Source organism: Homo sapiens, chromosome 2, assembly GCF_000001405.40.
Source record: "Homo sapiens chromosome 2, GRCh38.p14 Primary Assembly".
NCBI classification, from domain to species: Eukaryota; Metazoa; Chordata; class Mammalia; order Primates; family Hominidae; genus Homo; species Homo sapiens.
The window spans coordinates 73378592-73393058 of NC_000002.12; the positions used below are offsets into that span (position 1 = coordinate 73378592).

A 14467-nucleotide genomic window follows, 5' to 3' on the forward strand; every position below is an offset into this window, starting at 1 on the left:
ATGGGGGTGAAGAGGGGAAGGGTGCTTGGGGGCATTGGCTATTTACCAATGAATATGAAAGTATCTCAGTATTTTAACAACCAGAACAGCATTCGTGCACACCAGATGAATGTCAGACCTGCCTTCACATATTTCTGGGAGTTGTCAGTTTGTTGTATTCAACATAGGCTGCCATAACAAAATTCCTTAGACTGGGTGGCTTAAACATTTATTTCTCATAGCTCTAGAGGCTGGGAAGTGTAAGATCAGGGCACTAGCAGACTCAGTGTCTGGCGAGGGCCCTCTTCCTGGCTTGTAGAGGGCTACCCTCTTGCTATGTCTTTACATGGTGAAGAGAGAGCAATCTCTCTCTCCTCTTCTTAAAAGGGCACTAATCCCATCACTGGGACTCTACCCTTATGACCTCATTTATATCTAATTATCTCCCAAAGGTCCCACTTACAAATACCATTACACTGGGGGTTAGGCCTTCCACATATGAGGTTTTTCTTTTGTTTTGTTTTTGGAATGGAGTCTTGCTCTGTTGCTCAGGCTGGAGTGCAGTGGTGCGATCTCTGCTCACTGTAACCTCCACCTCCTGGGTTCAAGCAATTCTCCTGCCTCAGCCCCCCAGTAGCTGGGACTACAGGTGCATGCCACCAAACCTGGCTAATTTTTGTGTTTTTAGTAGAGATGGGGTTTCGCCATGTTGGCCAGGCTGGTCTTGTACTCCTGACCTCAGGTGATCCACCCGCCCAGCAGTGGACAGCCTCTCCTGCAGGTACACTGGCCTCCGCTGGGCATGACTGAGGTTTCTCATGTGTGGTTTTATCTCTGAAGCACTAATTCCTCCATTAGCCTCTACAGGTGCTTCTGCTCTTGCCTGACAGACCTTATGTTCTTCTGTGGATGTCCAAGCTGCCTTGGGAAATCTCTGGGTACCACCACCAAAGTCTTAGAGCCCTCAAAGTGCCTGGATTTTCCAGACATTTAAGGTAAAGTGGGGGAGGAGAATGCCTCTTTTTCTCTTTAAATCTCTTTTATGAGAGGAGTACCAAAAGGGCATTTATGTATTTATTCATTGGACAAACATTGAGGGCAACTATACATCAGGCATAATTCCAGGCGTTAGAGCTAAAGTGAAAAAGACAGGCTCCCTGCTTTCATGACACTTACATTCTAGTGGGTGGAGACAGAATATAGACAAACATATGTAATGTCAGCTAATAATAGGTGTAGGAATAAAGCAGAGTCATGGGTTGGAGAATGATGGAGTATGTCGGGTATGTCTGCTGTTTTATATCTTAGACTGGATGATCAGAGAAGACCTCTGACATTTGATCAGGAAACTTAATCAAATAAAAGCGTGAGCAATGGGGGATATGTGGGAACATAGCAAATGCAGACTCTGTAGCAGTGTGCACATGCTACAGTGTTTTATGGTTTTAATGACCAGTTCCTTCACTTTTTCCTGTCGTCTGCCTTTTGTCTTATGCTTGCCTTCTCAAACCTCAATTAAGATTTTTTTCTATAACTGACAGGTTTTTTCATCTATCATCTTTGTTTATCCAGAAACAGAGAGAAAAGAAGAAGAAAGACAAGGAGGGGAGGAAGAGAAGCAAAAGGAGGAGGAGGAGAAGAAGGTGGCAGCAATAACAATGGATGTAGGAGGGGGAAAGGAGGGCATGCTGCCCTTGCTCCTTCTTTCATTGCCTTTTGGCCCCTAGATGAAGAAAGGGCTGCACCACGAGAGAGGCAATTCTAGTCTGAGCAGTCTCTTGGGCCTGTGGGCAAGTTAGATGTGGGGCAGCAGGAATCTGCTCCATTTTGAGTTGTCTGGCGTTTTTATGTACTCATTTGGTGCAGTCCTGCTATGGGGATTGATAGCCAGGAACCTGCACCATGAGTCCCAGGTATAGGATCCTCTGTTCAAAGTATATGGGTAGGTCTCATGTTCCATATGGGCCTCCACCTATCTTTTCCCATTCTCAGGACCCTCAGCTCCTTTTGGCAGCAGCATCTTAATACCTGCTGCTACTAGAGGGAAACATCATTAGGAGCACTTGCTTGGCCATAGTAGGTTGGTACCAGCAGGCAACATTCCTGTTTCCTAGTACAGTGCCTGGAACCTAGAAAGTACTCAGTAAACCTTTGATCAGGAGGTACTGTGCTTCAGGACAGAAACCAGGATTCTGGTAACTAGGAATACATTCCACTCATGGGAAGTTTAAAACTGGCAAGCTGTGTGTAGGTATGTGCCTGTAGTCCCAACTACTCAAGAGGCTGAGTGGGAGGATTGCTTGAGCCTAAGAGTTTGAGTCCAGCCTGGGCAATAGTAAGACCTTATGCCTAAAAAAAGATAAAAAATTAAAACCAGGGTAGAACTAGAACTTACATAATTGCTTCCTTTAGTTTAATGTGTCAATGTTCTCTAGCAACCCAGTGTTGGTTTCACTATTCATTGCAACAAGGGAGAACGCACACCATGGGAGATCATGAGAGATCTCCATATTGGGATGTTACTAGGAGTTATAGGATTTGCCTTGTGTTAGGTGATTTTAGGGGGCAAGTTTTAAAGGCCAGTGCTTTTCTGTGTATTGGATGCTGTCAAGATGAGGGAGTAATTCTATGATTGGGCATCTTAATAAATTTTATTCAGAGGAAAAGAATACAGTGATGGGCTGGGCACAGTGGCTCAAGCCTGTAACCCCAGCACTTTGGGAGGCCAAGGCGGGTGGACTGCTTGAGCCCAGGAGTTCAGGACCAGCCTGGGAACCATGGCGAAACTCCATCTCTACCAAAAAAAAAAAAATTAGCTGAGCACGGTGGCACACACCTGTTGTTCCAGCTACTCAGGAGGCTGAGGTGAGAGGATCACTGGAGCTGGTGAAGTCGAGGCTGCAGTAAGCCATGATCGTGCCACTGCACTCCAGCCTAGGTGACAGCAAAAAAAAAAAAAAAAACAAACCACAGTGATGGTAGAGCTATAATTGATTTAAAAAAACAGCCATCAAATTAACTGGAAAAGGAGGGTGTTTGATGTGCACAGTAACGTTGTTTTTGTCTGTGCTTAGGCAAGGTTATGAAATGGTCTTGTCATGTCTCGTTTCTTCAGTCACAGAAAGACCATGTGTGATGTCGGTGTTCTGTGAGATTATTTATGCTCAACAGGAGAATATTGAGGGATGATGGTGAATGCCAGGCCAGCATGTGACAACCCTGAGGCTTAGTTACCTGTGTCAGACCAGTTCCCAGGCACCCTAGATTTATTTAGTGAGTCCTCCAGTTGGTCAAGGGTAGACAAAGTCAGGCCACAGGACCATTAATCTATGATATTCAGATTTTCACTATTGCTAAATTTATGCTGATCTGGAGGATGCAGTCTGTAGTTGGGTTAATTCCGCCTTCTGTTGTAGGATTTGTTGAATCATATGATATGACAATGGCTGTGCAGAAACTAGGGCTGTGGATAGGATACGTTGACCAAGTGCAAAAGAAGCAATTACCAGAAACAAAATGATTATCCATCTTTGTAAAAAGTCTTGAAGACAGGGACCCAGATTATAAAGTCCTGGCAATGAAAACATGCCCCAGAATCCAGCTGAGTCTGTTTTTAGGGAGCCAGGAGGATTTTCTCTTTTCAGTTTACTCATGTTCTACTGACTCTGTAGTATGTTCTACTGGCCCAGTAGTATGTGAGTATGGTGACAAGTGTTGCTAAATACAAACTCCTCCTTGGCCAGCTAAGAAGAAATCAAGGGTTATATAATTATCCATGAAAACTCTGGCTAAGGAATTCAAATTTAAGTGGTTTTCTGAGCTGCTATAGCAGAAGTTTTGCTATCTATGGGGTCTGCTAAGGTCAAATACCTCTCTTGGATCTGATCTCTTTCTGTTGTATTATCTTTGTTGTAGGAATTTCATTCACAGAGTACACATGAAAAATGAGTCAGTTATCCCTCCTGGGAGTTCTCCCAAGTAGTCTGTGATTGTGTGCTTGCTTCATTTTGTTGGTTTCTGGGTGTTCTTTTCAAAGAAACACAGTCTACTGGAGGGGTGGTAATTTTAAGCACTGGAGGGTCTCTAACAATTAGCTTCAATATAAAGGGTAAGTTAGTGGGCAAGCCAGATGTTCCCATAAATAAGTAGTACCCTAGGGGAGTACAGACTGCATTGGGAGGATAAGGGCTATTTAGCACATCAGGGACAAGCCAACTTTCTTTCCCTCAGGATAAGCAGATTTCTTGGATGAAGTTAAACAGGTTTCTCCAAAGCAGGCTGGAATGTTTTGGAAGAGAATGACCTGAGTAGTGTATAAAGAATAGCCCCAATATTAGTTTCTATTCCTGAAGGGCTAGGTTTTTCTCATAGGATTGTAATGACTTCAGGGAAACATTCTGTTGAAGTGTAGGTCAAGGTCCAATTTTTAGAAGACTGAGGTTTGGGATGAACTTTGTGGGGAATGCTTAAGTACCAGAAGTGACCTACAGAAGAAAATCTACTTGATGAAGTCTATGAAAGCACAGTTATTAAATTTTGTCAACAATTCCTTAAAAGCAGTAGCTACGGTTTGAGAAAAACACTCCAGAAAGTGTCTCTTTTCTTTTCTTTTTTTCCTTCCCTTTCCTTTCTCTTTCCCTTTCCCCTTTCCCCTCCTTTCCTTTCCTTTCTCTTTCTCTCTTCTCCCTTTCTCTCTTTCTTTTTTAGATTGGGTTTCACTTTGTTGCCCATTGGCACGATCACAGCTCACTGCAGTCTTGGACTCCTGAGCTTCAAGGACCCTCTTGCCTCAGCCTCCTGAGTAGCTGGGACTCCAGATACGTGCCACCATGCCCAGCTAATTTTTTATTGTTTTTAGAGATGGGGGTCTTGCTACATTGCCTACGTTAGTTAGACTCCTGGTCTCAAGTGATCTTCCCACCTTGGCTTTCTAAAGTGCTGGAATTACAGGTATGACCCACTGCACCTGGCCAAATAATGTTTACTTTAAGTAGTAGAACATAGGGAGTCAAAAGTAACAGGATGAAGATAAGGGTTATCTCCCCGAGAAATCAATTTGTTAGTTAATCAAGGGTGTCAAAATGCAATAAGCAAGATTAGTGGTAGGGTAAGAGATGCCAAGGAATCAGAAATTAATCTTGTCCTGTTGTCTTGGGTATAAACTGCCCATTTCTGCAGTAAGCAGCTTCTGGGGAAGTCCCAGGAATCTTCAGTTTGAGGTCTTCCAATAGTATGGGATGTCCGGTAGCCAGGAGAAAATGATGCATGTCTTTTTAGTTGTGTAATATGAATCCAGGGATCAATGTCTTCTAGTTTTACTCCTGGGTCAGTTGTTGATAGTACCTGACATTTTTTTTTCTTGCATTGAGGCTCAAGGGAAATTGTTTTCTAATGCTTTTTCAGAAGACCAAATCTCTAACTTCAGAAGCTGCTTAGGTGGGTGCTTTGAGAATGCAGCTTCCATCTGTTGTTGATAAAGCAGGAGTTAATCTTAGAAGTCTCCTGCAGCAATTAGTGATAACAGCTTATATTAGTAGCATCTAGTATTGGAAGTAATTCACAAATACATGAGGAAGCCTGTTATTAACTCAGAAGGAGATAACTTATGGGCCTTAGAATGGACTGACCTTATTGCCATCAAGGCAAATAGAAGTACTTTGGGCTTTGGAAGTTAGATGGAAGTTAGAGAACTTTGAAAGCTATTTTTTAGAATTCTATTAGTTCTCTTTATCTTTCCTGAAATTTGTGGATGCAAAAAGATAGCGGAGTTTCTAAAAAGGTAAAGCTTTACAGTTATTTAATATCAGTGAAATGTGTGTCCTCTTACTGGAGATAAACATTGAGATTTCACATTCAGGAATACAAAATTAATAAATTCTTTTCTACTATTACAGTAATAGGTCTCCGGCAAGGAGAACCCCTAAACCCCTTAAGAATAAATAACCCTAATGTACTCATAGTCCATTTAGAGGTGTTCAACAGAACTCCAAGACTGGGCTCCAGTTCATGTTCTACCCTTAAAGTTTTGCCAGGATTGGGTCATTGACAGGTAGGCAGGACATACATCCTTGGCAATAACCCTAAAATTGCCCCACCAACATTGGTTCAGCATCATTATCAATGTATCTCTACTATTGTGGGTAATACCATGAAGACTTTTTGCTGGACTCCACTTTAATTATGGCTATTTCCTTTGGTAACAGTGAAGCATCTCAAGATTATAATTATTATTTAAAATTTTAATTTAAAAATTTTCCCCATAGGTTATTGGGGGTACAGGTGGTGTCTGGTTACATGGCATCTTAAGATACTTTAATTTGCCATTCATTTCGTAGAGGTTCCTGAAGCGGTCAGGAAATCTTTGTTTTTAAAGCACTCCAAAGTCATTGACGAACCACCAAAACATATGTACTATCAGTATAAATATTTGCTCTGTTATCCTTTAACAGCTGGTTGGTCTAGGCCAGGGCAATTCCTACACTAACAGAGGACCTGGGATGGCATACTGAGTCAGCCACTTACTAGGTAAGAAACTTTGGGCAAATTAATTTTTTTAGCCTCAGATTCTTCATACATGAAATAGTAATACTTGTCTCACAGAACCGTGAGCATCTAATGAGTTATTGTACAATAACCAACCTATCACTAAGTCCTTCACATTGATTATTTCCTTTAATTATCACACCCATCCTATGCGATGGCCTATTATCATCGTTTTATAAACACAAAGTCACACCACTTTAAGTGGTGATGCCAGGATTCAAACTCCGATCTTTCTGATGCCAGTGCCCAGTTCTTAATCCCTCTAACAACCCGTGACACTTTTCCACGGTTAGGTTCAAGCGCCCACCATACAGCTTGACACTTTAGGAGATACTCAACCTTTAAAACTTTATAATTTGCATGTGTGATTATAACGGGTACGTCCTAGAGTTTGATCTCTTCTCTGTGCAGGGGCGAAACTCGACCCCAGCCGAGAACTACACTGTCCTTGCGCGGGGCCCTCTGCGCCCCGGAAGGCGCCCAGTCCCGGTTTATTGTGAGCTTACAGTACAGTTCGCAAGGTCCCGGCCGGTGACGGCGGCGAGGCGGCAACGTCGCCTGTAGCAAACCTCCGCCCTAAGGCGTTCCCGCCGGGCCTCGCGCGGCGTCCCTAGCAACGCGCGCGCGGTCTTCCGGCCCCGCCCAGGCGGGCGGCACTGCGCCTAAGCTGGGCCACAACCGCCAGTCAGGGCTCTCCCCTTCCCCTCCCTCCCCCCCTCCTCCTCCTCCTCTGCCGCCCAGAGCGAGACACCAACATGGAGCCCGAGGATCTGCCATGGCCGGGCGAGCTGGAGGAGGAGGAGGAGGAGGAGGAGGAGGAGGAGGAGGAAGAGGAGGAGGCTGCAGCGGCGGCGGCGGCGAACGTGGACGACGTAGTGGTCGTGGAGGAGGTGGAGGAAGAGGCGGGGCGGGAGTTGGACTCCGACTCTCACTACGGGCCCCAGCATCTGGAAAGTATAGACGACGAGGAGGACGAGGAGGCCAAGGCCTGGCTGCAGGCGCACCCCGGCAGGATTTTGCCTCCGCTGTCGCCCCCGCAGCACCGCTACTCGGAGGGCGAGCGGACCTCCCTGGAGAAGGTGAGGCGGGCCGGGGAGGGGTGTGGAGCCGCGGCGAGTTGGGGGTGGAGGCTGGGCCCCGAGCGCTCCGCCCGCCCGCAGGTCACGCCGCCTGACGGAGAAAACGCGCGCAGCTGAGGCTAGTAGGCGGCCCAGACTCCAGCCCAGGTGCCGGCCGGCTGCTCCGCGTCTCCCAGGCTTTGTGGCAAAGACTTCTCGTTTCCTCCCCCTCGGTGGGTCCTGGGCCTTTTGAACTCCCGTAGACGTTCAGGGGAGCCTGCATTCCCCGTGAGAAACGCTGAGAGAGGACCACGGGTGTGTCGAGCCTTGAAGGAGGGAAAAGGCGGTGTAGGACCGGAGCGAGTGGTTGCCTGGGGAGCATCTTGTTGGGGAGACAGTGAACAGATGAGCTTGACTGAATTGCAGGACTCCCCTGAGGGAGTAATGTGGATAATGTACACCGCGCGATCACTTAGTCTGGAGAGGCTCCCCGCGGGTTTTCCTCCCCTGGACCATCATTTGTAGCAATAAAGGGGTTCCCCAGCCGATAGGAGGGGCTTGGAATGCAGGAGGCTTGTGATGCGGCTCCAAACAGTCTGCAAAACTACAAAGCACAGATAATACACAATGGAGAAAGCCGATTTCATGGTAGACCCCCGAAGATCATTTTGAAAATAACTCTCCATTTAATTTGCTGCCCTTACCCCCCTTTTTTTAACTTACTGCTTTTCGAGGAGCAAGACCTGCCCTGCTCAGTACAGTAGCCACTGGCCACGTGTGGCTTTTTACATCTTAAAGAGAAAACTATTATAGTTTTGAGTAAGAGTTAAAAATAAATTAAATGAAAAATTCCATGCGTCTGTTCTTACCGGTTTTCAAGTGCTCAGCAGCCACACTAGGCTAGTGGCTACCATGTTGGACAGAGCAGATAATGGAACAGTTCCATCATCACAGACAGTGAAGGTGTAGAGTTTTGTCACTAATGAGCAGTAGTTGTTGTTTTGTCTGGTGAATATTCCAGGGGGTACTTAATTCATTGAACATGTATTATTAGAATTCACCATGTGCCACACATTGTGCTGGGTGCTAAGGAAAGCTTGGTGAACCCAAACATTTTTGGTCTCTGCCTTCCTTGTGTTCATGGTCTAGACAGGGAGGCAGACAGATTTCAGATGATCACATAAAGTGAAACTAATATATGTGCTAATATTCTATGAAAGCATAAAGTAAGATAATCTGGCCTTGTCAGTGAAGTTGGGAAAGCCTTCTTGAGGAGGTTATGATAGAGCTGATATCTGAAGACAGTTTAAGGTTAATCAGGCAAAGGGGAGGGAAAGAGCCGTCTAGCTGAGGGAAAAACACATGAAAAGGTACTGTTGATGAGAGAGAGCATGGCATTTTCCAGGACCCAGAAGCCAACGTGGTTTGAGCACAGACTGCAAGGCTTTGTGTGCTATGCCAAGGATTTAGGGGCTTTATCTCTGGAGCTTTGGGGAGTTGAAGAAAATATTTGAAACGAGGGGATGTATGATAAGTTAGGTGTTTCAGAAAGGTCAGGTGTATAGCAGAGTGTGGAACAGCTGTGATAGCAAGGTGGGATGGGGAGCAGTAGCCATAGGTCAAGGGCATAAATTAGGAGACCATTGCAGCATTGCCCGGCAAAAGATGATGAAAGTTTGGAATAGGGAAGTGTTGGTGGATACAGGGAAAAGTGGACTGATTTGAGAGATATTTAAGAGGCAAAATCATCATACTTAATAACGGATGGGATGTGAAAGGTGAAGTAGCCAGGTGTTAGGTTATTGTTTGAATGGTTGTGCCAATATTAAGATATGGCCAGATTTATGGTGGAGGTGGTGGCTGTGAGTGGGTGGTGGAATTGGTTGGGTGAGTCTTAAGATTATGAGTTTGGTTTTGAAGATTGAAGGAGAAGGCTGGGCTAGAGATTTCAAGTTGTAAGTCATTTACATAGAGACCATAATTAAAGCCACACTTGTTGACTAGGTCTTCTAACTTTTATTTTGTCCTGTGACTTCTTGCTTGAATAACTATTAATATTCAAACTTTATCTTGAAGCCTAGAGGAGGAGTTTTTTAAACAAAATTTTAATTTAATTTTAGATTTGGGGGTACATATGCACGTAATTAACATGGATATATTGCATAATGGTGAGGTTTGGGCTTCTAGTGAACCTCTCACCCAAATAATATACCTTTGTACGTGATAGTGTAACATTGTACTTGATAGGTAATTTTTCAGCCCTTCTCTCCTCCTTCTGGAGCCCCCAGTGTCTGTTTATTTCCATCTTTATGTCTGTGGGTACTTATTGTACCCATTTATCTTTATGCCTCTGTGTACCCATTGTACCCACTTGTCTTACCAGTGAGAGCATGTGGTATTTGATTTTCTGTTTCTGAATTGTTTCACTTGATAAATAGCCTCCAGGCTCCATCCATGTTGCTGCAAAGGACAGGATTTCATTCTGTTTATAGCTGCATAATATTCCACAATGTATATTAATACATACTACATTTTCTTTACCCATTCAGTTGTTGATGGACACTTAGGTTGATTTCATGACTTTGCTATTGTGAACGGTGCTGTGATAAACATATGAGCACAGATTTTTTTCTTTTTTTTTAATGGCGTCTAGCTGGTGTAGAACACCTGGGCTCAAGTGATACTCCGCCTTGGCTTCCCAAAGTGCTGGGATTACAGGTGTGAGCCAGTGTGCCTGGCTCAGATGTCTTTTTGATGAAATGATTTAATTTCCTTTGGAGAGATACCCAGTAGTAGGATTGCTGGGTCAAATGGTAGTTCTGTTTTGAGTTCTTCAAGAAATCTCCATACTGCTTTCCATAGGAGTTGAACAATTTACATTCCCAACAACAGTGTATACGTGTTCCCTTTTCTTCTCATCCTTGCCAACATCTGTTTTTTGACTTTTTAATAATAGCCATTCTGACTGGTGTGAGATGGTATCTCATTGTGATTTTAATTTGCATTTCTCTGATGCTTAGTGATGTTGAGCATTTTTTCATGTTTTTTGGCCGCTCGTATGTCTTCTTTTGAGAAGTGTCTGTTCAGTCTTTTGCCCGCTTTTTAGTGGGGTTATTTGTTTTTTCTTCCTGTTGATTTGTTTGAGTTCCTTATAGATGCTGGATATTAGTCCTTTGTCAGATGCATAGTTTGCAGATATTTTCTCCCATCCTGTAGGTTGTCTGTTTACTCTGTTGGTAGTTTATTTTGCTGTGCAGGAGCTCTTCTAGTTTAATTAAGTTCCATTTGTCTGTTTTTATTTTTGTTGCATTTGCTTTTGAGGTCTTAATCATAAACTTTTTTCCTAAGTATTCTTTAGGATTATTATAATTTCGGGCCTTACATTTAAATCTTTAATCTATCTTGAGTTAATCTTTGCATATGGTGAGAGATAGGGACCCAGAGGAGGAATTTTTAAGCTAACCCTCTTTTACTACAGCCAATGTGAGAAAATTATTTTCCTGTTTAATAATGAACTATCTTTTTTTTCCCCCGCCGAGATGAAGTCTTGCTCTGTTGCCCAGGCTGGAGTGCAGTGTCACGATCTTGGTTCACTGCAACCTCTGCCTCCTGGGTTCAAGCAATTCTCCTGCCTCAGCCTCCCGAGTAGCTGGGATTACAGGTATCCACCACCACGCCTGGCTAATTTTTGTAGTTTTAGTAGAGATGGGGTTTCACCATGTTGGCCAGGCTGGTCTTGAACTCCTGACCTGTGATCTGCCTGCCTCAGCCTCCCAAAGTGTTGGGATTAGAGGCATGAGCCACCGCGCCCGGCCTCTAATCGTGAACTATCTATGGGTAATAGAAAATCTTACTTCTGAGAGCCCAGAGTATTTTTTCCTCCCCACAGTTTTTTCTTTCCCCTGAGAAAAATTAGATATTTTCTTATTTACCTGAGAGAATATATGATAATATATAGAATATATAGATGATTTTCTGTATTAAAGGTAGATTTACAATGATACAAGGAGTGTTCAGATAATTTTTCCTTTAGTTCACTGGCATATTGAAACTTACTGGCATAGGTTGGAAAGTGTTTAAGGAAAAAATGCTTAGTATGTTTCTTGCTAGAAATTTATGAACTATGAAATTCTTAGATGTGTTGTATAACATCTAATGCTGCGTATTTAGAGGATGAGATCAAATAATAGGAAACATTAATTTCATCCAGTTTACTCTCAAGTTAAATGACAAAATTGTGTTATTCAATTTACTCTCATATCTCACTAGATAATAAGGGAGTTATAGTGGTGTTATATAAGGCAGTGATTAAGTTTGTAGTCCTGTTACTAAGGCTGAGTTAAACTATGATACTGTTTAAATTTGAAGCAAAATATGACCAGTCTTATAACTAAGTCTTTTTAAGAGGGAAGTGAGTGATTCAGAGCCTTATGTTGTTTTTATGCTGGTCCTACAGACCATTCAGGCACTTCTTGTAATTCCTTAACCTGAATTTCTGAGTTGTGCTGGGGAAGATAATTCAGTTCTCTGGGTTGGCATCACTAGAAATTCTTGGTCTCCAACTTTTAATTGGGTCATCAACAGTGCTTGGAAATCTTTTTTTTTTTTCTTTTTAAGATGGAGTCTCTCGCTTTTGTCACCAGGCTGGAGTGGCAGTGGCCCGATCTTGGCTAACTGCAACCTCCGCCTCCCGGGTTCAAGTGATTCTCCTGCCTCAGCCTCCGCAGTAGCTGGGACTACAGATGCGCGCCACCATGCCCAGCTAATTTTTGTATTTTTAGTAGAGATGGGGTTTCACCATGTTGGCCAGGATGGTCTTGATCTCTTGACCTCAGGTTATCCACCCGCCTCGGCCTCCCAAAGTGCTGGCATTACAGATGTGATGAGCCACTGCGCCCGGCCCAACAGTGTTTGGAAATCTTTAGTTTCCTCTCTGTCAGCTTCTTTCCCCATCTTCCCTCTTAACTTCTGTCTCCCACCCAGAGTTCAACATCCCCCCATAAGCAGGTTACAGTTTCAAAGAAGAGAACACAGGCTGAACCTCTCCCGTTTCTGCTCCCCATCTCCAAATTTATCTACAGTGCACAATTTATTTTTTTAACCTATTCATATACGTTTTATTCTTTTTTTTTTTTTTTTTGAGACGGAGTCTCGCTCTGTCACCCAGGCTGGAGTGCAGTGGCGCAATCTCGGCTCACTGCAAACTCAGCCTCCCGAGTTCATGCCATTCTCCTGCCTCAGCCTCCCGAGTAGCTGCGACTACAGGCGCCCGCCACCACGCCCGGCTATTATTTTGTATTTTTAGTAGAGACGGGGTTTCACCGTGTTAGCCAGGATGGTCTCCATCTCCTGACCTCGTGATACACCCGCCTCGGCCTCCCAAAGTGCTGGGATTACAGGCTTGAGCCACCGTGCCTGGCCTTGTATACGTTTTATTCTTAATATTAATCCTGTTTTGTGTTCCTAGGGTAAAAACTATTTAGTCGTAGTGTGCTTTTCTCTTGAGGAACTGCTAGATTTTATTTGCAGATATTTGATAATGGTTTTAAATGTTTTTCTGTTTGTTTTTTGTTTTCTTGGCCAGTATTTATCAAACTTGACATCAATATTATGCCATTTTCATAAAAGGTACTTGGATGATTTTTGTTTTTCTGGAACAGTGTAAGTACAAAGGAATTTTTCTTTCTTGTATGTTTGAAAGATATCACCATTTAAACTATCTCTGTATTCCTTTCAGGGTTGTAGTCTATATATGTTCTCCTTTCTTGGGTTAATTTTGGTGGTTTTCCTAGGAAATCATTCTTTTCAGTAAGGGTTTCTAGTTAATTTTAATGGAGTGCTACACAGTATTCTTTATTTTTTCATTTGCCTCTGTGGTTATTTTCACTTCTCATTCCCAATTTTGTGTAATTATGCTTTATTTTTCTCCTGATTTGACTAGGTAGGGGTTTATTTAATTTATTTTTCATTCAAGGACACAGCTCTTGATTTAAGTTTCTGTTGCTGTTTATTTTTTAATTATTAAAAATTATTAATTTTAATAATAAGTTCAGTTTTCATCTTTTACTATTTCCTTAGGTTTACTTTGATGTGTGTGTGTGTGTGTGTGTGTGTGTGTGTGTGTGTATTTCCTTGTGTTGAGTGCTTAATTGACTTACTTAAAAACATTTTAATAGCTTTTTTGAGATATCATTCATATACTGTACAATTCACCTTTAATTTAAAGTGCACAATTCAGTCATTTTCTGTATATTCATAGATATGTGCCATCATGATCACGGTCAATTTTAGAACATTTTATCACTTCTAAAAGAAACCCCATACACTTTAGCTGATATCCCCCGTCTTCCATTCCCCATATGCAACTATTAATCTACCTTCTGTCTATAGATTTACCTATTTTGGGCATTTCATATAAATGGAATGATATGTGTTTTTGTGACTGGGCTTCTTTCACTTAGCTTAATGGTTTCAGGATTCACCTGTGATGTGGCATGTATCAGTACTTCATTACTTTATATGGCTGAATAATATTTTATTATATGGATATGTGATATTTTGTATATCCATTCATCAGTTGATGGACATGTTTTTTTTCCTCCTTTTTGGCTATTATGTATAATGCTACCGTAGACATTCTTATATAAGTGTATGTGTGGACATATGGATTCATTTCTCTTGGATGTATATCTAGGAGTAGAATTTTTGGGACATATGGAATTCTGTTAACCTTTTAAGTTTCTGCCAGATTGTTTTCCAAAGTGGCCTTCCTATTAGCAGTGTATGAGAGTTCCAGTTTCTCCACATCCTTATCAGCACTTGTTATTACCTGACTTTTTTGTAGTTTTGATTTGCATTTCCCTTATGGTTCATGCATCTATTCATGT

The 14467-nt window shown here is 42.7% G+C and overlaps 1 protein-coding gene and 1 long non-coding RNA gene across 4 annotated transcripts in view, besides 4 other annotated features; one reads left to right on the forward strand and one right to left on the reverse strand.

Moving 5' to 3' along the window:
• LOC105374804 (uncharacterized) overlaps positions 1 to 7090 on the reverse strand; it is a 33362-nt gene extending 26272 nt beyond the window's left edge. For both annotated transcript variants that reach the window (XR_007087053.1, XR_007087045.1), the window contains exon 1: positions 6862 to 7090. This is a non-coding gene — a long non-coding RNA (uncharacterized LOC105374804). The remainder of the gene's footprint in view (positions 1 to 6861) is intronic.
• Positions 7004 to 7403: a silencer, noted in NCBI's record as "silent region_11645". NCBI's record gives its function as "represses an Ori minimal core promoter by ATAC-STARR-seq in GM12878 lymphoblastoid cells {active_cell/tissue: GM12878}" and the evidence as "EXISTENCE:reporter gene assay evidence [ECO:0000049][PMID:35858748]".
• Positions 7004 to 7753: an enhancer, noted in NCBI's record as "H3K27ac hESC enhancer chr2:73612723-73613472 (GRCh37/hg19 assembly coordinates)". NCBI's record gives its function as "activates a minimal SCP1, AML or CMV promoter by ChIP-STARR-seq in primed H9 embryonic stem cells {active_cell/tissue: H9 hESC(primed)}" and the evidence as "EXISTENCE:reporter gene assay evidence [ECO:0000049][PMID:30033119]".
• The window catches only part of ALMS1 (ALMS1 centrosome and basal body associated protein), a 224162-nt gene continuing 216861 nt past the window's right edge, over positions 7167 to 14467 (forward strand). The window contains 1 exon segment of one of the 2 annotated variants that reach the window (NM_015120.4): positions 7167 to 7601. In NM_015120.4, the coding sequence (NP_055935.4) occupies positions 7278 to 7601 (324 nt within the window). In that variant the 5' untranslated portion in view covers positions 7167 to 7277. 2 annotated transcript variants of the gene reach the window in all.
• Positions 7564 to 7733: a silencer, noted in NCBI's record as "silent region_11646". NCBI's record gives its function as "represses an Ori minimal core promoter by ATAC-STARR-seq in GM12878 lymphoblastoid cells {active_cell/tissue: GM12878}" and the evidence as "EXISTENCE:reporter gene assay evidence [ECO:0000049][PMID:35858748]".
• Positions 7794 to 8033: an enhancer, noted in NCBI's record as "active region_16029". NCBI's record gives its function as "activates an Ori minimal core promoter by ATAC-STARR-seq in GM12878 lymphoblastoid cells {active_cell/tissue: GM12878}" and the evidence as "EXISTENCE:reporter gene assay evidence [ECO:0000049][PMID:35858748]".